Below are 15486 nucleotides of genomic sequence, written 5' to 3'. Positions count from 1 at the left end.
GGCACATCCAAACTACTGAATTCTGTAAAATGTAAGGCACTTATCCATATAAGGCACTTACCTCTGTGTCTAGTACAAATTAGATTCTCAAAATAATTACTGTCATTAACATTATAATTTCCAGATTCTCAGAATCTGGCACCTTTCTTGGTTCTACTATAGTATTCATATGCCAGCATTTCCAAACCTACTTTACTATGGATCCTTTCTCCACATACCTATCTACATGGCATTTGTTTCATGGAGTACATTTTGGGGAATGCCTCTCTATCTCAGACACAAGCTTCATGCATTGTCCATTGACCACCATTTGTCCAGGGCTGATCTCCCCCAAAAAATTGTGTGCTCCTTGAAAGCATGGACCGGTGTTGGCACATATTAGGTACTAAGTAAATGTCTGTAGAATAAATAACAACAAATGAAAGAAGGGGTTTGGTGCAAATGACTCTGAGGATCCCCTGAAGCTTTAAAGCCCAGGTTCTATCATTTATACTGGAACCAAAGGGTCTAAACTCCCAAATTTCACACTGCTAACCTTGAGGACTAACAGAAATCAATGAAAACCACCTGAGGGACTCCTAAGTGTTCCAAGTATGCAGACCACAGCCCATGGGCTCTCTAGGCTGGCTCGAGTTTAACCTTACTTCATTTTCAACACAGACCAATATACATCAAATGTGGCTCACAGTGGCCAGGCCCAGTGGCTCACACCATAATCCTAGCACTTTGGGAGGCCCAGGCGGGTGGATGGCCTGAGCCCAGGAGTTCAAGAGCAGCCTGGGCAACATGGTGGAACCCTAACTCTACAAAAAAATACAAAAAATTGACCAGGATTGGTGGCATGTGTCTGTGGTCCCTGCTACTAGGGAGGTTGAGGTGGGAGGACCACCTGAACCCAGGAAGTTGAGGCTGTAGAGAGCCATGATTGTGCCACTCCACCCCAGCCTGGGTGACACAGTGAGATCCTATCTCAAAAAAAAAGAGTAGTTTAATAGTCAAACATGTAAAATGACCCAGATACAATTCAAGGATCAGGAGACCTCATTTACAGACTACTCAAAAGCTGGTTTGTAAGGCCTCCACCCACTTTCTAGCTTGAAGAATGAGTCACAGCATGTGCCCTCTGGGGACACCCAGGAATTTGTAGGGCAAAGGTGACAATCTTTCCCCAAGGTGCCAGCCTAACTTCACTCTAATGTAAACAGGCATTTCTGAGGTTTCACAGGGGCTCAGGAACAAAGCATCCACTGCCCTGGATGTTCTCTGGCTCCAGCAAACCCTGGCACACCAGGCAAAAGGCTTCTTTCAGGCAGAGGAAACAAACAAGGCTTAAGAAAAGTGAGAGTGGATGGCATGGCCCTGAGAGATGAAAGCGCCTCTGTTTAGTTTACTGAATTCTGCCTAGAGAGCTGCAGGAAGGCAGGATTTTTCTTAGCAGAGGAGTGAGAAATTCTGCAACCAGGTCAATTTTTCAGCAAAAGAGGTGCCAGGAATAGTAGTAGGATAAAGTATACATGGAAGCTGAGCCTGGGGTGGGTGGCCCAGGTCCCCTGCCCCACTCTTCTCAACTCAATGATCAACAATTCCGGCCCCCAGTTTGTCAAGAGTACTTAACGCACGGTTGTTCAACGTTATGCCAGTTTGCTACTGAACTCAAATTTGCTGACAAAATACACGTGTGCAAGTTCCTAATATTTTCTCCCCGCTACCCTCAACCGATGTCATTTCTGTGACTCAGAACCTTAACTAAAACTCAAAGCTGTGTGACACTGAGGAAACTGTGTTATGTCCCTGGGCCTCAGACCCCTCATCTGGACAAGGAAGGGATCGAGCAACCTTCAACACACTGCCTTCCAGCTATACCACTCCAGGAAGTACAAAAGAGGGCAGGTGGAAATGCAGAAGGATTTGTGCACCCTGGTAAGTCCTTCTCCACTCCCTGGTGCAATGATTGTGAAACTATTCTCACCCACACACAGGTAACTTCCAGTAGGAGATCACGAGCAGACAGAGCTGCCCTTTGTAAACAATAAATCACTGATTTTGCAAGGGGTTAAAAAAACAACAAAAAAAAAGGAGCTTCCAGCAGGGCGCAGTGGCTCACGCCTGTAATCCTAGCACTTTAGGAGGCCGAGGAGGGCGGATCACCTGAGGTCAGGAGTTTGAGACCAGCCTGACCTACATGGCAAAACCCCATCTCTACTAAAGATACAAAAAAATTGCCAGGCATGGTGGTGAGCGCCTGTAGTCCCAGCTACTCGGGAGGTTGAGGCAGGAGAATTGCTTGAACCCGAAGGCAGAGGTTGCAGTAAGCCGAGACTGCACCATTGTACTCCAGCCTGGGCAAGACAGCAAGACTCTATCTCAAAACAAAAAAAAAAAAAAAAGAAGAAGGAGCTTCCTTCACGACAAACTCAGAGATTGTAAGGAGAAAATGAGAACCAGAGCACCAGGTTGAAGCCCAAAAGGTGACAAGGAGAAGCTAGTCCTGGGTGATCCCCTCCATGGCCAGCCAGGTACCTGAGCTTTCAAGGTTTCCTCTTTCTGGGCAGAGGCATCTGATATACCAAGGGATTTTACTCAGCAATTCTAAACAAGCAGGTCCAAGTATGGCAAAAGTTTTCAAAAAGGGACTAATTGTTCTCCGGGATTATGTCAGTGTTCTATTACTACTGTAACAAATTACCACAAATTGAGTGGCTTGAAATAATAGCCATTTATCCGATCACAGTTCCATATATTGGAAATCCAGCATGCATCTCAACAGGCTCCAATCAAGGTGTCACAGGTGTGAGTCCATTACTGGGGGCTCTGGGAAAGAACTGATATCCACACTTATTCAGGTTGCCGGTCTAATTCAGTTCCTTGTGGTTGTAGGACTGAAGTCCCTGTTTCCTGCTGGCCGTCAGCTGGGCACTAGCCTTTGTTCCTGTGTTCCTTATGCTTTCCATGAGCTCCTGGAGGCTTCTCTCCAGATTTTGCAAGTGGCTCCCACCCACATTCCAGAGCCAATGACAGCATATGGAATCCTTTTCACACTTGGAATTCCATGACTTCCCCTTCTGCCTCATCTTTCTTTCTTTCTTTCTTTCTTTTTTTTTTTTTTTTTTTTGAGATGGAATCTCCCTCTGTCTCCCAGGCTGGAGTGCAGGGGCCTGATCTTGGCTCACTGCAAGCTCCGCCTCCCAGGTTCACACCATTCTCCTGCCTCAGGCTCCCGAGTAGCTGGGACTACAGGCACCCGCCACCACACCCGGCTAATTTTTTGTATTTTTAGTAGAGATGGGGTTTCACTGTGTTAGCCAGGATGGTCTCGATCTCCTGACCTCATGATCCGCCTGCCTCAGCCTCCCAAAGTGCTGGGATTACAGGCATAAGCCACCGTGCCTGGCCTCTGCCTCATCTTTCTAACCTCCTCTTCTGCCTTCCTTTTCTGTTTTTACAGGCTCAAAACACGGTGCCCACTTAGATCATCCAGGACAATCTCCCTATCTTAAGGTCAAGGGATTAATAGTTCTAATTCCATCTGCACGGCACAGTCCCTTTACAGAAGTATCTAGATCCGTGCTTGACTGAATAACTAGTGGGTAGAAATCTTGAGGGGATGAGTTTAGATTTGCCTCCCACAGGGGCCTTTGATTCTGAAGGCATAAACTGTCTCTGGAGCCCCCATGTTACCCCAGCTTAGTGGGAAGGCAAACCAGAGTCACCTCACAGCCACTCAGACCCTTTGCCCCAGAAGGTCAGATTTAGATCTAACATACCAGACAGGCCTGGATTTAGTCCCACCTCAACCATTACCTACTGACAGCAGCCTCTGGCCAAGTTCTGAAATTTCTTTCGTCTACAAAACGTGGTGCCACCACCCACTTGTCAAACTGCGGAAGAAGTAGACACAACGAAAGTGGGTGGCTGCCAGGCCTGGGATGGTAGGTCTGAAACTGGATAAAAGTCTGAGACGCTCTCTCTCTTCACAGACAATAACATTCTATACTTAGAACACCCCACAGTCTCTGTCCAAAGGCTCCTAGTTCTGACAAATACTCTCAGTAAAGTTTCAGGACACAAAATCAATGTACAAAAATCAGTATCATTTCTATACGCCAATAATGTCCAAGTTGAAAGCCAAATTAAGAACTCAGTCCCATTCACAATAGCCACAAAAAGAACAAAATACCTAGGAATACAGCTAACCAGGGAGGTGAAAGATCTCTACAATGAGAATTATGAAACATTGCTGAAAGAAATCAGAGATGACACAAACAAATGGAAAAACAGTCCAGGCATGGTGGCTCACGCCTGTATCCCAACACTTCGGGAGGCCAAAGTGGGTGGGTCACTTGAGGTCAGGAGTTCAAGGCCAGCCTGGCCAACATGGTGAAACGCTGTCTCTGCTAAAAATACAAAAATTAGCTGGGCATGGTGGCACACATCTGTAATCCCAGCTACTTGGGAGGCTGAGGCAAAAGAATTGCTTGAACCCAGGAGGCAGAGGTTGCAGTGAGCCTAGATCATGCCACTGCACTCCAGTGTGGATGACAGAGCAAGACTCTGCCTCGAGGTAAAAAGAAAAAAAGAAACACTTTCCATGCTCATGGATAGGAAGAATCAATATAATTAAAATAACCATACTGCCCAAAGCAATTTACAGATTCAGTGTTATTCCTGTAAAACTCCCAAGGATATTCTTCACATAATTAGAAAAAAACTATTCTAAAATTCATTTGGAACAACAAAAACAACAAAAAGCCCAAATAGCCAAAGCAATTATAAGCAAAAAGAACAAAGCTAGAAGGATCACACTTACCTGATTTCAAACTATACTACAAGGCTACAGTAACTGAAACAGCATGGTACTGGTATAAAAGCAAACACATAAATCAATGGAACAGGTTACAGAGCCCAGAAGTAAAGCTGCACATCTACAACCATCTGATCTTTCACAAAGCCAACAATAACAAGCAATAGGGAAAGGACTCCCTATTCAATAAATGGTGCTGGGATAACTGGCTATCCATATACAGAAGATTGGAACTAGACCCCTTCCTTCTGCCACATAAAAAAATCAACTCAAGATGGACTAAAGAATAAAATGTAAAAGCTAAAACTATAAAAATTTAAGAAGAAAACCTAGAAAATGCCATTCTAGACATGAGCCCTGGCAAAGATTTCATGACAAAGACTCTAAAACCAATTACAACAAAAAACAAAAATTGGTAAGTGGGATCTAATTAAACTAAAGAGCTTCTGCACAGCAAAAGAAACTATCAATAAACAGAGAGCCCACAGAATGGGAGAAAATTTTTGCAAACTATACCTCTGATAAAAGTCTAATATCTGGCCAGGCCTGGTGGCTCTCACCTGTAATCCCAGCACTTTGGGAAGCCGAGGCGGGTGGATCACCTGAGGTCAGAAGTTCGAGACCAGCCTGGCCAACATGGTGAAACCCCATCTCTACTAAAAATATGCAAATCAGCTGGGCGTGGTGGCGAGCACCTGTAAACCCAGCTACTCGGGAGGCTGAGGCAGGAGAATCACATGAACACAGAAGGCAGAGGTTGCCATGAGCCGAGATCGCACCATTGCACTCCAGCCTGAGCAACAAGAGGGAAACTCCATCTCAAAAAAAAAAAAAAAAAAAAAAAAAAGGTCTAATATCCCAAATCTATGAGGAACTTAAACAAATTTACAAGAAACAAAAACGTTTAAAAATGCGCAAAGGAGGCTGCGTGCAGTCACATGCTTGTAATCCCAGCACTTTGGGAGGCTGAGGCGGGTGGATCACCTGAGGTCAGGAGTTTGAGACCAGCCTAGCCAACATCATGAAACCCCATCTTTACTAAAAATATAAAAAATTAGCTGGGTGTGGTGAGGGGCACCTGTAATCCCAGATACTCGGGAGGCTGAGGCAAGAGAACTGCTTGAATCTGGGAGGCAGAGGTGGCAGTGAGTCGAGATCGTGCCACTGCACTCCAGCCTGGGCAACAGAGCAAGACTCTGTCTCAAAAAAATAAAAAATAAAATTTTAAAAATTTTAAAAATGGGCAAAGGCCATGAACAGACACTTCTCAAAGGAAGACATACACATGGCCAAAAAGCATATGAAAAAAAAGCTCAACATCACTAATCATCAGAGAAATGCAAAGCAAAACCACAATAAAACACCATCTCACACTAGTCAGAATGGCTATTAAAAAGTCAAAAAGTAATGGATGCTGGTGAGCTTGAGGAGAAAACGGTATGCTTATCCACTGCTGGTAGAAATGTATTATAAATTAGGTCAGCCTCAGTGGAAAGCAGTCTGGAGATTTATCAAAGAATTTAAAATAGAACTACCATTCAACGCAACAATCCCATTACTGGGCATATACCCAAAGGAATAGAAATCATTCTACCATAAACACATAAGCACATGTATCTTCATCGCAGCACTCTTCACAATAGCACTTGAGCCCAGGAGTTCAAGACCAGCCTGGGCAACATAGTAATACCTCATTCTTTTTTTTTTTTTTTTTTTTTTTTTTGAGACTGAGTCTCACTCTGTCACCCAAGCTGAAGTGCAATGGCGCTATCTCAGCTCCCTGCAACATCCCCTTCCCATGTTCAAGCAATTTTCATACCTCAGCCTCCAGAGTAGCTGGGATTATAGGCGTGAGCCACCACACCCAGCCAGACCTCATCCTTTAATTAAAATTTTTTTTAAATTTTTAAAATAATAATAAACAATAGCAAAGACATGGAATCAACCTAGATGGCTATCAGTGGTGGACTGGTCAAAGAAAATGTGGACATATACCACAGAATGCTACGCAGCCATAAAAAAAGAACAAAATAATGTCCTTTGCAGCAACATAGATGGAGCTGAAGGCCATTATCCTAAGTGATTTAATGCAGGAACAGAAAACCAAATACCACATTTTCTTATTTGTAAGTGGAAGTTAAACACTGAATACACATGGACGCAAAGAAGGGAACAACAGACACCAGACGATGGGGCCTACTTGAAGGTGGAGCGTAGGAGGAGGGTGAGGATTGAAAAACTACCCATTCCATTAGGTACAGTGCTAATTACCTAGTTGATGAAATTATCTGTACACCAATCCCCTGTGACAGGCCATTTACCCATGTAATAAACCTATACATGTACTACCTGAACCTAAATAAAAGTTGGGAAAAAAAAAAAAAAAACTAGTCTGAGACTCACCCTTGGGATCATAAGCATTTTGCTGCTGAACATTAAATGAAGGCATGTTTTCAACATTTTGTTTCTATCTGAGGAACAATCACCCTAGAAAGCTAGCTAACTTGCAGACAGTCACTTGGAATCAGGGTGGGCACTCCAAGACCTTGTCTCTCATCTGTGGCCAGCTCGCTCATGAAGGGCCTTGCTTAAGCTGCAACCAGCCCTACAGTCTCCCTGTTCTCTAGCCAGGGCAATTCTTTTTCTTGCCATTTTACAGCTTCTTTTCTGAGCAAACTGATGCCTGCGTAGAAGGTGATGAGACCAACATGTGCTCTTTTAAAGCGTCGACAGCCCCAGCACTCTTGTAATTGTAAAACAGGCCAGTGGTCTGGTACTATGCTCAGTAATTAACATGCATGACCCTGTTTAAGGCTTACAACCTATAAAGTAATATCAGCACCCACTTTTTACAAGAGAGGAAACACAAAGACTAAACATTGCCTAGGATGCGAGTCTAGCTTTGAATGGATCCAAAGACACTGCTTGCCCTATGATGGCTCTAAGTAACACTGCTCTTAAAGGAGCTCATGGTCCAGTGGAGAATCGGACATTCCATGTGATCCTTGACCACTGACCATTCTCCTACATCTGTCCACTCTCTCTTAAAACAACCCTCTTGTCGTAACAGGGGCAAAGGAACTCAAAGCAAAGACTCGCTGAGACTGCTCAAGTCCATATATGAAATATGCATACTCCAGCTAGGACAATGATGGGGTCTGAACTCCGGGGTCAAGTTGGGTTGGGGGCAGCTGACAGGCAACCATGCAAAGAGGTCTGTTCCTCCCGTCTTTCATCTTACCACTCTCCTACCTCATTTGACCTTTCTGGCACGCCCATCAGTCCGGGTCAGCTCCTTAAATAACTGGACAAGTGGCTGCGCAGTGGAAAATATCATGTAAAAGTTGAACAGGTGGGAGATGAGGAGATGAGTTGCAGGTTTACAGCAACAATGCCAGGTGAGCAAAAAAGCAAGGCTGTCAAGAAGCCGTTATCCGCCTCACAGGACCCTCATGCTATACACCTCACAATGGGCTTTCACATGCCCTAGGCCACAGGTCCTGCCCGTACAATAATCATATGCTAGAGCTTCGTAGAATCATCCCCATTTTGTGAGGCAGGGGTTGGGGAAAAGGCTTGGGCAAAGATTAAGTGACTTAATCAAAGTTTATCTCAAATAATTGTAGATGTAGGACTGGGAAGCATTTCTGATCACTGGAAAACTGCAACTACTGCTACACTATGCTGTGAAGGGAAGCAGCATCTTGGAAGACGGTGTGTGTGACCACCCACAGAATAAGAAAGATTTAGACGAGCCGACAGCAGCAACTATAGTCAGAAAGTCGGAGCAGTGTCAGGGTAACCAAAGGCGCAGGGAAGGAGATGACAAAGGGTCAAGGACAACTGCCAGAGCCTCTTGTGAACTCCTGGGAGAGCCCCCAGGGCCTCCTGAACAGCACAAGCCAGAACAGCTAGGGGCCCCAGGCAGCCCCTGTTACAGATTCTGCTCGAATGACTTCAGGGCAGACTTGTATGTGGACTGGGGGCTGCACGTGCATGCTGTCATGCGTGTCTGTCCTCTCTTGCTCTCATTTCATATACACTCAGGCCCACGAACACACAAACACACATATGCACACAGATAAACACAAAATAAATGCCACTTTTAAGGCTAAACCTTTCTCTGGCCCTGGAAAAAGGGAATCCCCCCAAATAATAAATCAACGGTCACTCAAAGAAAAATTCCACAACTCAAGGCAACTGGAGAAAAATAACTCTGACCCAATTTAGTTCCAGAATCCAGCCCTCTCTCTTCTCTAAACCTTGTTTAGGACAGAAGCAAACACCCCAACACATGCACTGCCCTCAGTAAACACCTATGAAGTAAAGAGAAATCCATTTAATCGATCCACATCTCATGAATGAAAACTGCTGTCATGTGACCAAATCCCCGTTTCCAAAAATAATTCTGCTGCAACTGAGAGAAAAGAAATCCCAAACCACGCTGCCTTCTGTAAGCTCACGCCTGTCTCCCAAAATGAGGAAGAAAAAGAGAAAGAAAAAAAAAAAAGCTGCACACTGACAGCCTTACATAACGGTCTGCATCTCTCCCTGGCTGATGGCAGCAGATTTATAAAATGCCATAAATAGCTCCCTCTCCTGCCACAGGAAACCAGGCTAAGAGGCTGAGCTGCAGAGCCTGCGTACAGCTGGCCTCCTCCTTCGTTTACAATGGAACCTTTACGAGCAGAGCTTTCCGGCACAAAGCAAGTTCAGTGAGACCAGCTGGCCCAGGTCCAGTGAAGATGCACCACCTGAAAGACCCAAAAAGCTGAGTCAGACATTCAAAACTTGGCTGGCGACTCCCGAGAGAGACAGCACTCCCAGGCCAGTGTAGGAATGGTGACCACAGGACATTGCTCTGCAAAGGGGCTTCTCCAGCAAACCAGGCCAACGGGCTTGCTGTTTTGGGTACATAGTGGCCTCCGGACGCTTAATACTGCCAGCCAAGGGGCACGACGCCAGCCTGACAGGCAGCTGGCAGGATGGAGGCAGTTCTCAGAGAGGCATCCCAGCAGGATATTACATGCCCCACTGTAACGTCCAATCAGAAAATCAGAACCTGAAGCAGGGTTCTCTCCACATTCTCAGGACACCAGGAGGAATTCTGGAGGCTGGCCAAAGCCAGGAAGGGTGGTAGGAGTGGTAATCTCATCCCAAATCCCTGTTGGAAATCTGAGACTCCAGGCTGAAAAGCTATTGCTTTGAAGAGGAAAACTTTGCCTGAGAAGGGTTAGATGTCCCGAAGCAGGATGGCCTGCAGCCCACATTGCATGTGTCATCACTCTGAATGGCAGGGGGTCTCTGGGGGAGAAAGAAAAGGGGGAGAGAGAGTGGGTATCTTTTTTTTTTTTTTTGAGACAGACTTTCGCTTGTCATCCAGACTAGAGTGCAATAGTGCGATCTCAGCTCACTGCAACCTCCATTTCCCAGGATCAAGCAATTCTCCTGCCTCAGCCTCCCAAGTAGCTGGAATTACAGGCGCCCACCACCAAAACCAGCTAATTTTTGTATTTTTAGTAGAGACGGGATTTCACCATGTTGGCCAGGCTGGTCTCAAACTCTTGCTCTTGGGTGATCAGCCCACCTCAGCCTCCCAAAGTGCTGGGATTACAGACATGAGCCACCACGCCCTACCAAGAGTGGGTATCTATGGGAAGGCAAGCACCTGGGGCCTCATGCCTCCCAGTGAACAGGCCTGGATTAGGAATGAACCTTATCCACCCAAAAACAGCGGCTGCCAAGCTGTCACAGCCTAGGATAAAGTTAACAAAATAACTAGAGTGAGAAAGAGGTCCGGGAATATGGGACATGGGTAGGAGAGGAAGAGAACAGTTCTGTTTGTGATTCCTCCTTAGGTCCTGGCTTTCACTGCACTCACTCCGTAGGAGGAACTTGGCTTTTAAAAAATCATGACTCCAACAAGGAAAAGAGCAATATTGGCTGCCACTTACTGCAAAGTGACTGTGTGCTTAGCCAGGCCTGGGTGCATTACCCCAAGGAGTTATTTGTCCAAAAACTCACAGCAGCCCATGAGGCCCACAACATCACCCTCCTCAAGTCACCAATGGGGAAACTAGGGCTGGAGATAACTTGCCCACAGGCCTAAGAACCAACAGGTGAAGCTGGTGTTGAACCCAAGGCTGTTTATTACAATAGCTCCTGGCAAACATGCTAATAAATGCATAATATAAACATCAATGTACTTCACTGTATTCTTATTTCACCACTTACAGATTTAAAATTTATCAGAACAAACAGTTGGGACATAAAAAGAACCAGCAGGCACAAGCTACTGTGCCACACCTTCTGTATCTTTATTAAAGACAATTCAGTGCTGGGCATGGTGACTCATGCCTGTAATCTCAACACTTTGGAAGACCAAGGCAGGAGGATTGCTTGAGCCCAGGAGTTGGAGACCAGCCTGGGCAACATAGTGAGGCCTCATCTCTACAAAAAATAAACAAAATTAGCCAGATACAGCAGTGCGCACCTGTGGTCCCAGCTACTTGAGAGGCTGAGATGGGAGTATTGCTTTAGCCCAGGAGTTCAAGGCTGCCGTGAGCCATGATGGCGCCACCACACTCCTGCCTGGGTGACAGAGTAAGATCCTGTCTCAAAACAACAGCAACAACAATAAAATTCAGTAATAAAAGTTTTCAGGAAAAAAAATGTCACTAGTGATCAAAGAAATGAAAAATAAAACAAGTATGAGATACTATCATGTTATCTGTCAAACTGGCAATTAATTATATTAATTATTTATAATTAATATAATTATAATTATTATTCATAATTATTATAATTATAATAATTATTATTATTCATAATTATTATAATAACTATTGCTGCTGACAAGGGTGCAGGTAACAAGCTCACTCACACCCAGGAACATGAATCAAAAGCAATTCCAGGCTGGGCACAGTGGATTAAACCTGTAATCCCGGCCTTTGTGGGGCCAAGGCGGGCAGATCACCTGAGGTCCAGAGTTTGAGACCAGCCTGGCCAACATGGTGAAACCCTGTCTCTACTAAAAATGCAAAAATTAGCCAGGTGTGGTGGCGGGCACCTGTAATCCCAGCTACTGGGGAGGCTGAGGCTGGAGAATCGCTTGAACCCGGGAGGCAGCAGTTGCAGTGAGGGGAGACTGCGCCACTGCACTCCAGCCTGGGTGACAGAACAAAATTCTGTCTCAAAAAAAAAAGCAATTCCACTTCTTCAGTTATTTTCTAAGAAAAATCATAACTGCATACAAAGATGTAACTTTCCTCAGCAGTTATATAACTGTTAAAAATTGGAAAATGAAAATGTCTAATAATACTGATTTTGATTAAATAAGGCATGGTCCTCCCATATATCATGTCTGCACATTTTTCACCACAACGCCATTTCCAGTAACACTGCAGAGAATCACATGGTGGCCAAGAAAAGACGCTCTAGAGATAGATTAAGTGGGAAAATTGCAGGTCACAAAACAAAGTACAGAATATAGTATCCCTATTTAAATAAAAGTGAGACATGTAAAAATATAATTAAAGAATATTTCCAATAGAATTTCATCTTCACAGGCAGACCATCCCCACCCAGAGAAATACATCCAACAGTCCTCAGTTACCTCCTTATTAGGTACTTGTCTGACCTCCAACATGACAAACCCAGCCCTCCCCTGTTGACAGCTAAGTGAGCTTAGCACCACTGCACCATCCGACCCACCCATAACTTTTCTTTTTTCTTTTTTTTTTTGAGACAGGGTCTTGCTGTGTCACCCAGGCTGGAGTAAAGTGACACAAGCAAGTCTCACTGCAGCCTTGACCTCCCGGGCTAAAGCAATCCTCCCACCTGTAGCTGAGACTACAGGCATGCACCACCACGCCCAGCTAATTGTGTGTGTGTGTGTATATACACAGTCAGGGTCTCACTATGTTGTTCAAACTCCTGTGCTCAAGTAATGCACCCACCTCAGCTTCCAAAGTGCTGGGATTACAGACATGAGCCACCATGCCTAGCCTCCACAACTTTTAAACAGCCTGACATGAGCACATTTCCTAACCATGACTACACAGACACAAATGCATTTCCTAAAGTACTTCCACTATAAGTTCAAATCCTGTAGGGACAGAAAGACACAGTCAGAATAGGTCACTGTATGATGTTGGCCAAGTTAAAATCAGTTAACCCCTACAACCCTCAGTTTTCTCATCTATAAAATGGGAAGCTGTTACAAGGATTAAACGAGCTAATACAATAATGTAAAGAAAAATGCACTCTAAGCATACAGTTAATGTTCAATAAATGACTGCTCTACAGTTACCACTGAGGTAATTTCCCATAAGTAGTAAGGGTTAACTTGTTGGCGAAATGGAGACCCTATTTCAATAGGTATTGTCCTACAAACAGACTATGTGCAAATTTCAAGTAGAGACGAATTATATTTCATTCCTTAAAGACTCACTTCTACCTGTTTTAGTTCACTGTTGTGTCCTCAGTGCCTGGAACACGGTAAAACTCAAAGAGTGCAAAATGAACTTAATGATTCACTCTTTATGCCCAAGGCACTGAAAATAACCAACCCAACTCTTTTCTCTTAACTACAGCTAATGGACCACATGCAGTGGCATGCCTGTAATCACAGTGCTTCGGGAGACCAAGGCTGAAGGATCATTTAAGGCCAAAAGTTCGAGACCAGCCTGGGCAACATAGTGAAACTCAGTCTCTACAAAAGATTAAAAAAGAAAAAAAGTTAGCTGGACGTGGTGGCACACCTGTAGTCCCAGCTACTTGAAAGGCTAAAGTAGAAGGATCGCTTGAGCCTAGGAGTTCAAGGCTGCAGTGAGCTATGATCACACCACTGCTGCTCTCCAGCCTGGGTGGCAGAGTAAGATCCTGTTTCTTCTTTTTTTTTTTTAGACAGAGTCTCGCTCTCTTGCCCATGCTGGAGTGCAGTGATTATGATCTTGGCTCACTGCAACCTCCGCCTCCCAGGTTCAAGGGATCTTCCGCCTCAGCCTCCCATTACAGGCACCCACCATCACGCCCGGCTAATTTTTGTACTTCTGTAGAGACGGAGTTTCACCATGTTGGCAAGGCTGGTCTCGAACTCCTGACCTCAGATGATCTGCCCGCCTCGGCCTCTCAAAGTGCTGGGATTACAGGAGTGACCCACTGCGCCTGGCCATAAGATCCTGCTTCTAAATAAATAAATACATTTTTTGAAAATTCACATGGAAAAAGGTGATTGCCAAAAAAGAAAAAAAAACTAACTACGTGATAGGCCAATTACAAACATATCAATATCAACCTATAAAGCACAATGGATATTCACTGAACCAACTGTCGCATTAGGAAATGAGAAGAAAGTGTGTGAGGGGCTTCCTGACTAACACTACAGAATGACAGTCCACCAGGATCACATTGCCGTCAACTTCTGAAATTAATCTGCAAAACTTACAAAGCCTGAAAAAAAAAAAAATCTCATCTAAGCACTAAAGGGGAACTGGAAGTTTTTGTTTTAAGGCATGTATTTTGAAAAGTTTCATTTCTATTTCCATATTAGCTTCTCAATGTGCACTGAACTACAGTGAAATCACAGCCTTGTGTTTTTGAAAACAGATTCTGCAGCTATGGAAACTGAATCTGTCACTATATTTTGACTTCACTGTAGGATCGAGTGAGAAGAAACATCTCAGCCCGGACACAGCCACTTAGCTACATATCTTGTTCTTTTTAATAAAAAATGTGCTTAACCATAATTGACAAAGTCCTTAAATACCTAATTTTCAGAACAAACTGTATCACATAAAAGTTCCTTCAGTTAACAATTCCTTCAGGCTCGTGTGAAAAAGTACTTGATTTTATTAATTCTAAATAATCCCTAGAGAGGCAAGGGGGTTTTGCTTGGTCCACAATTAAAAGTCAGATTCTAGACTTAAATCAACTTGAGTACAAAGAAGAAATTCTCTACGAAGCACTAACACACACATCTGGGAAACGACAGCTCAAATTTTATCAGCCACTTTTGATAAGTAATCCAAAGCAGACCTCAAGATTACTCAAGAAGTAGCACAAATAATTAGGAATGTGTGGTATTGAGAGAAGAAGCCAAGAGCCTCTGTATAAGAATCCCCCAGGAAACAGTGAGGTCAAGGACCAAAGACACAGAGGGGCTAAAGGGAGCACATCATCCCTCCCCCCAGCCCCTGAAAAAGGCACCCCATTAGCCTTTCTCATTGAAATTAACAGGGCCGTTACTAGGAAACGGGTCCAAACAGTCATGTACACACCAAGTGAATAAACAGTGACAGCTGGGCCTTCAGTGACCATGTCATGGGATGGCAAGATGGCCTTAGAGTGAGTGGGCTGTGATAAGCCAATGCATAAAAGTAATAGCAAGATAGGAAATGAAAACAGGAAACACACAGGCTACAAACTGCATGCATGGTAGGCAGGGAGGACTGAGCCGTGCCTAAGCTAAGGAATACTAGCTCCTCACTGGTCCTTGCTGGGCACTACTTCCAGAAGCACCAACGGCGGAAGGTCCCACTTCTGCACGGCTCATGACCTTGCTGCTTGGGGTGGGGGTGGGGGTCGATGTCCACACCCAGCCTTCCCACGCTGGGTGCTCTCTCTCTCTCTCTCTCCATGACCATCCCATTTCAGAGCAAGTGAATCCCTCCATGGACTTAGGG

General features: G+C 44.6%; 1 protein-coding gene across 4 annotated transcripts in view, besides 2 other annotated features; it reads right to left on the bottom strand.

Moving 5' to 3' along the window:
* The window catches only part of TRAK1 (trafficking kinesin protein 1), a 212798-nt gene that overhangs the window by 144026 nt on the left and 53286 nt on the right, over positions 1-15486 (bottom strand). The gene's annotated exons all lie outside the window — the stretch shown is intronic.
* Positions 9540-9669: an enhancer, noted in NCBI's record as "active region_19732". NCBI's record gives its function as "activates an Ori minimal core promoter by ATAC-STARR-seq in GM12878 lymphoblastoid cells {active_cell/tissue: GM12878}" and the evidence as "EXISTENCE:reporter gene assay evidence [ECO:0000049][PMID:35858748]".
* Positions 10283-10994: an enhancer, noted in NCBI's record as "H3K27ac-H3K4me1 hESC enhancer chr3:42112363-42113074 (GRCh37/hg19 assembly coordinates)". NCBI's record gives its function as "activates a minimal SCP1, AML or CMV promoter by ChIP-STARR-seq in naive H9 embryonic stem cells {active_cell/tissue: H9 hESC(naive)}" and the evidence as "EXISTENCE:reporter gene assay evidence [ECO:0000049][PMID:30033119]".

The sequence above is a fragment of the Homo sapiens genome, chromosome 3 (assembly GCF_000001405.40).
Source record: "Homo sapiens chromosome 3, GRCh38.p14 Primary Assembly".
In the NCBI taxonomy this organism is placed as follows: Eukaryota; Metazoa; Chordata; class Mammalia; order Primates; family Hominidae; genus Homo; species Homo sapiens.
This window is presented reverse-complemented; position numbering and strand designations above follow the sequence as displayed.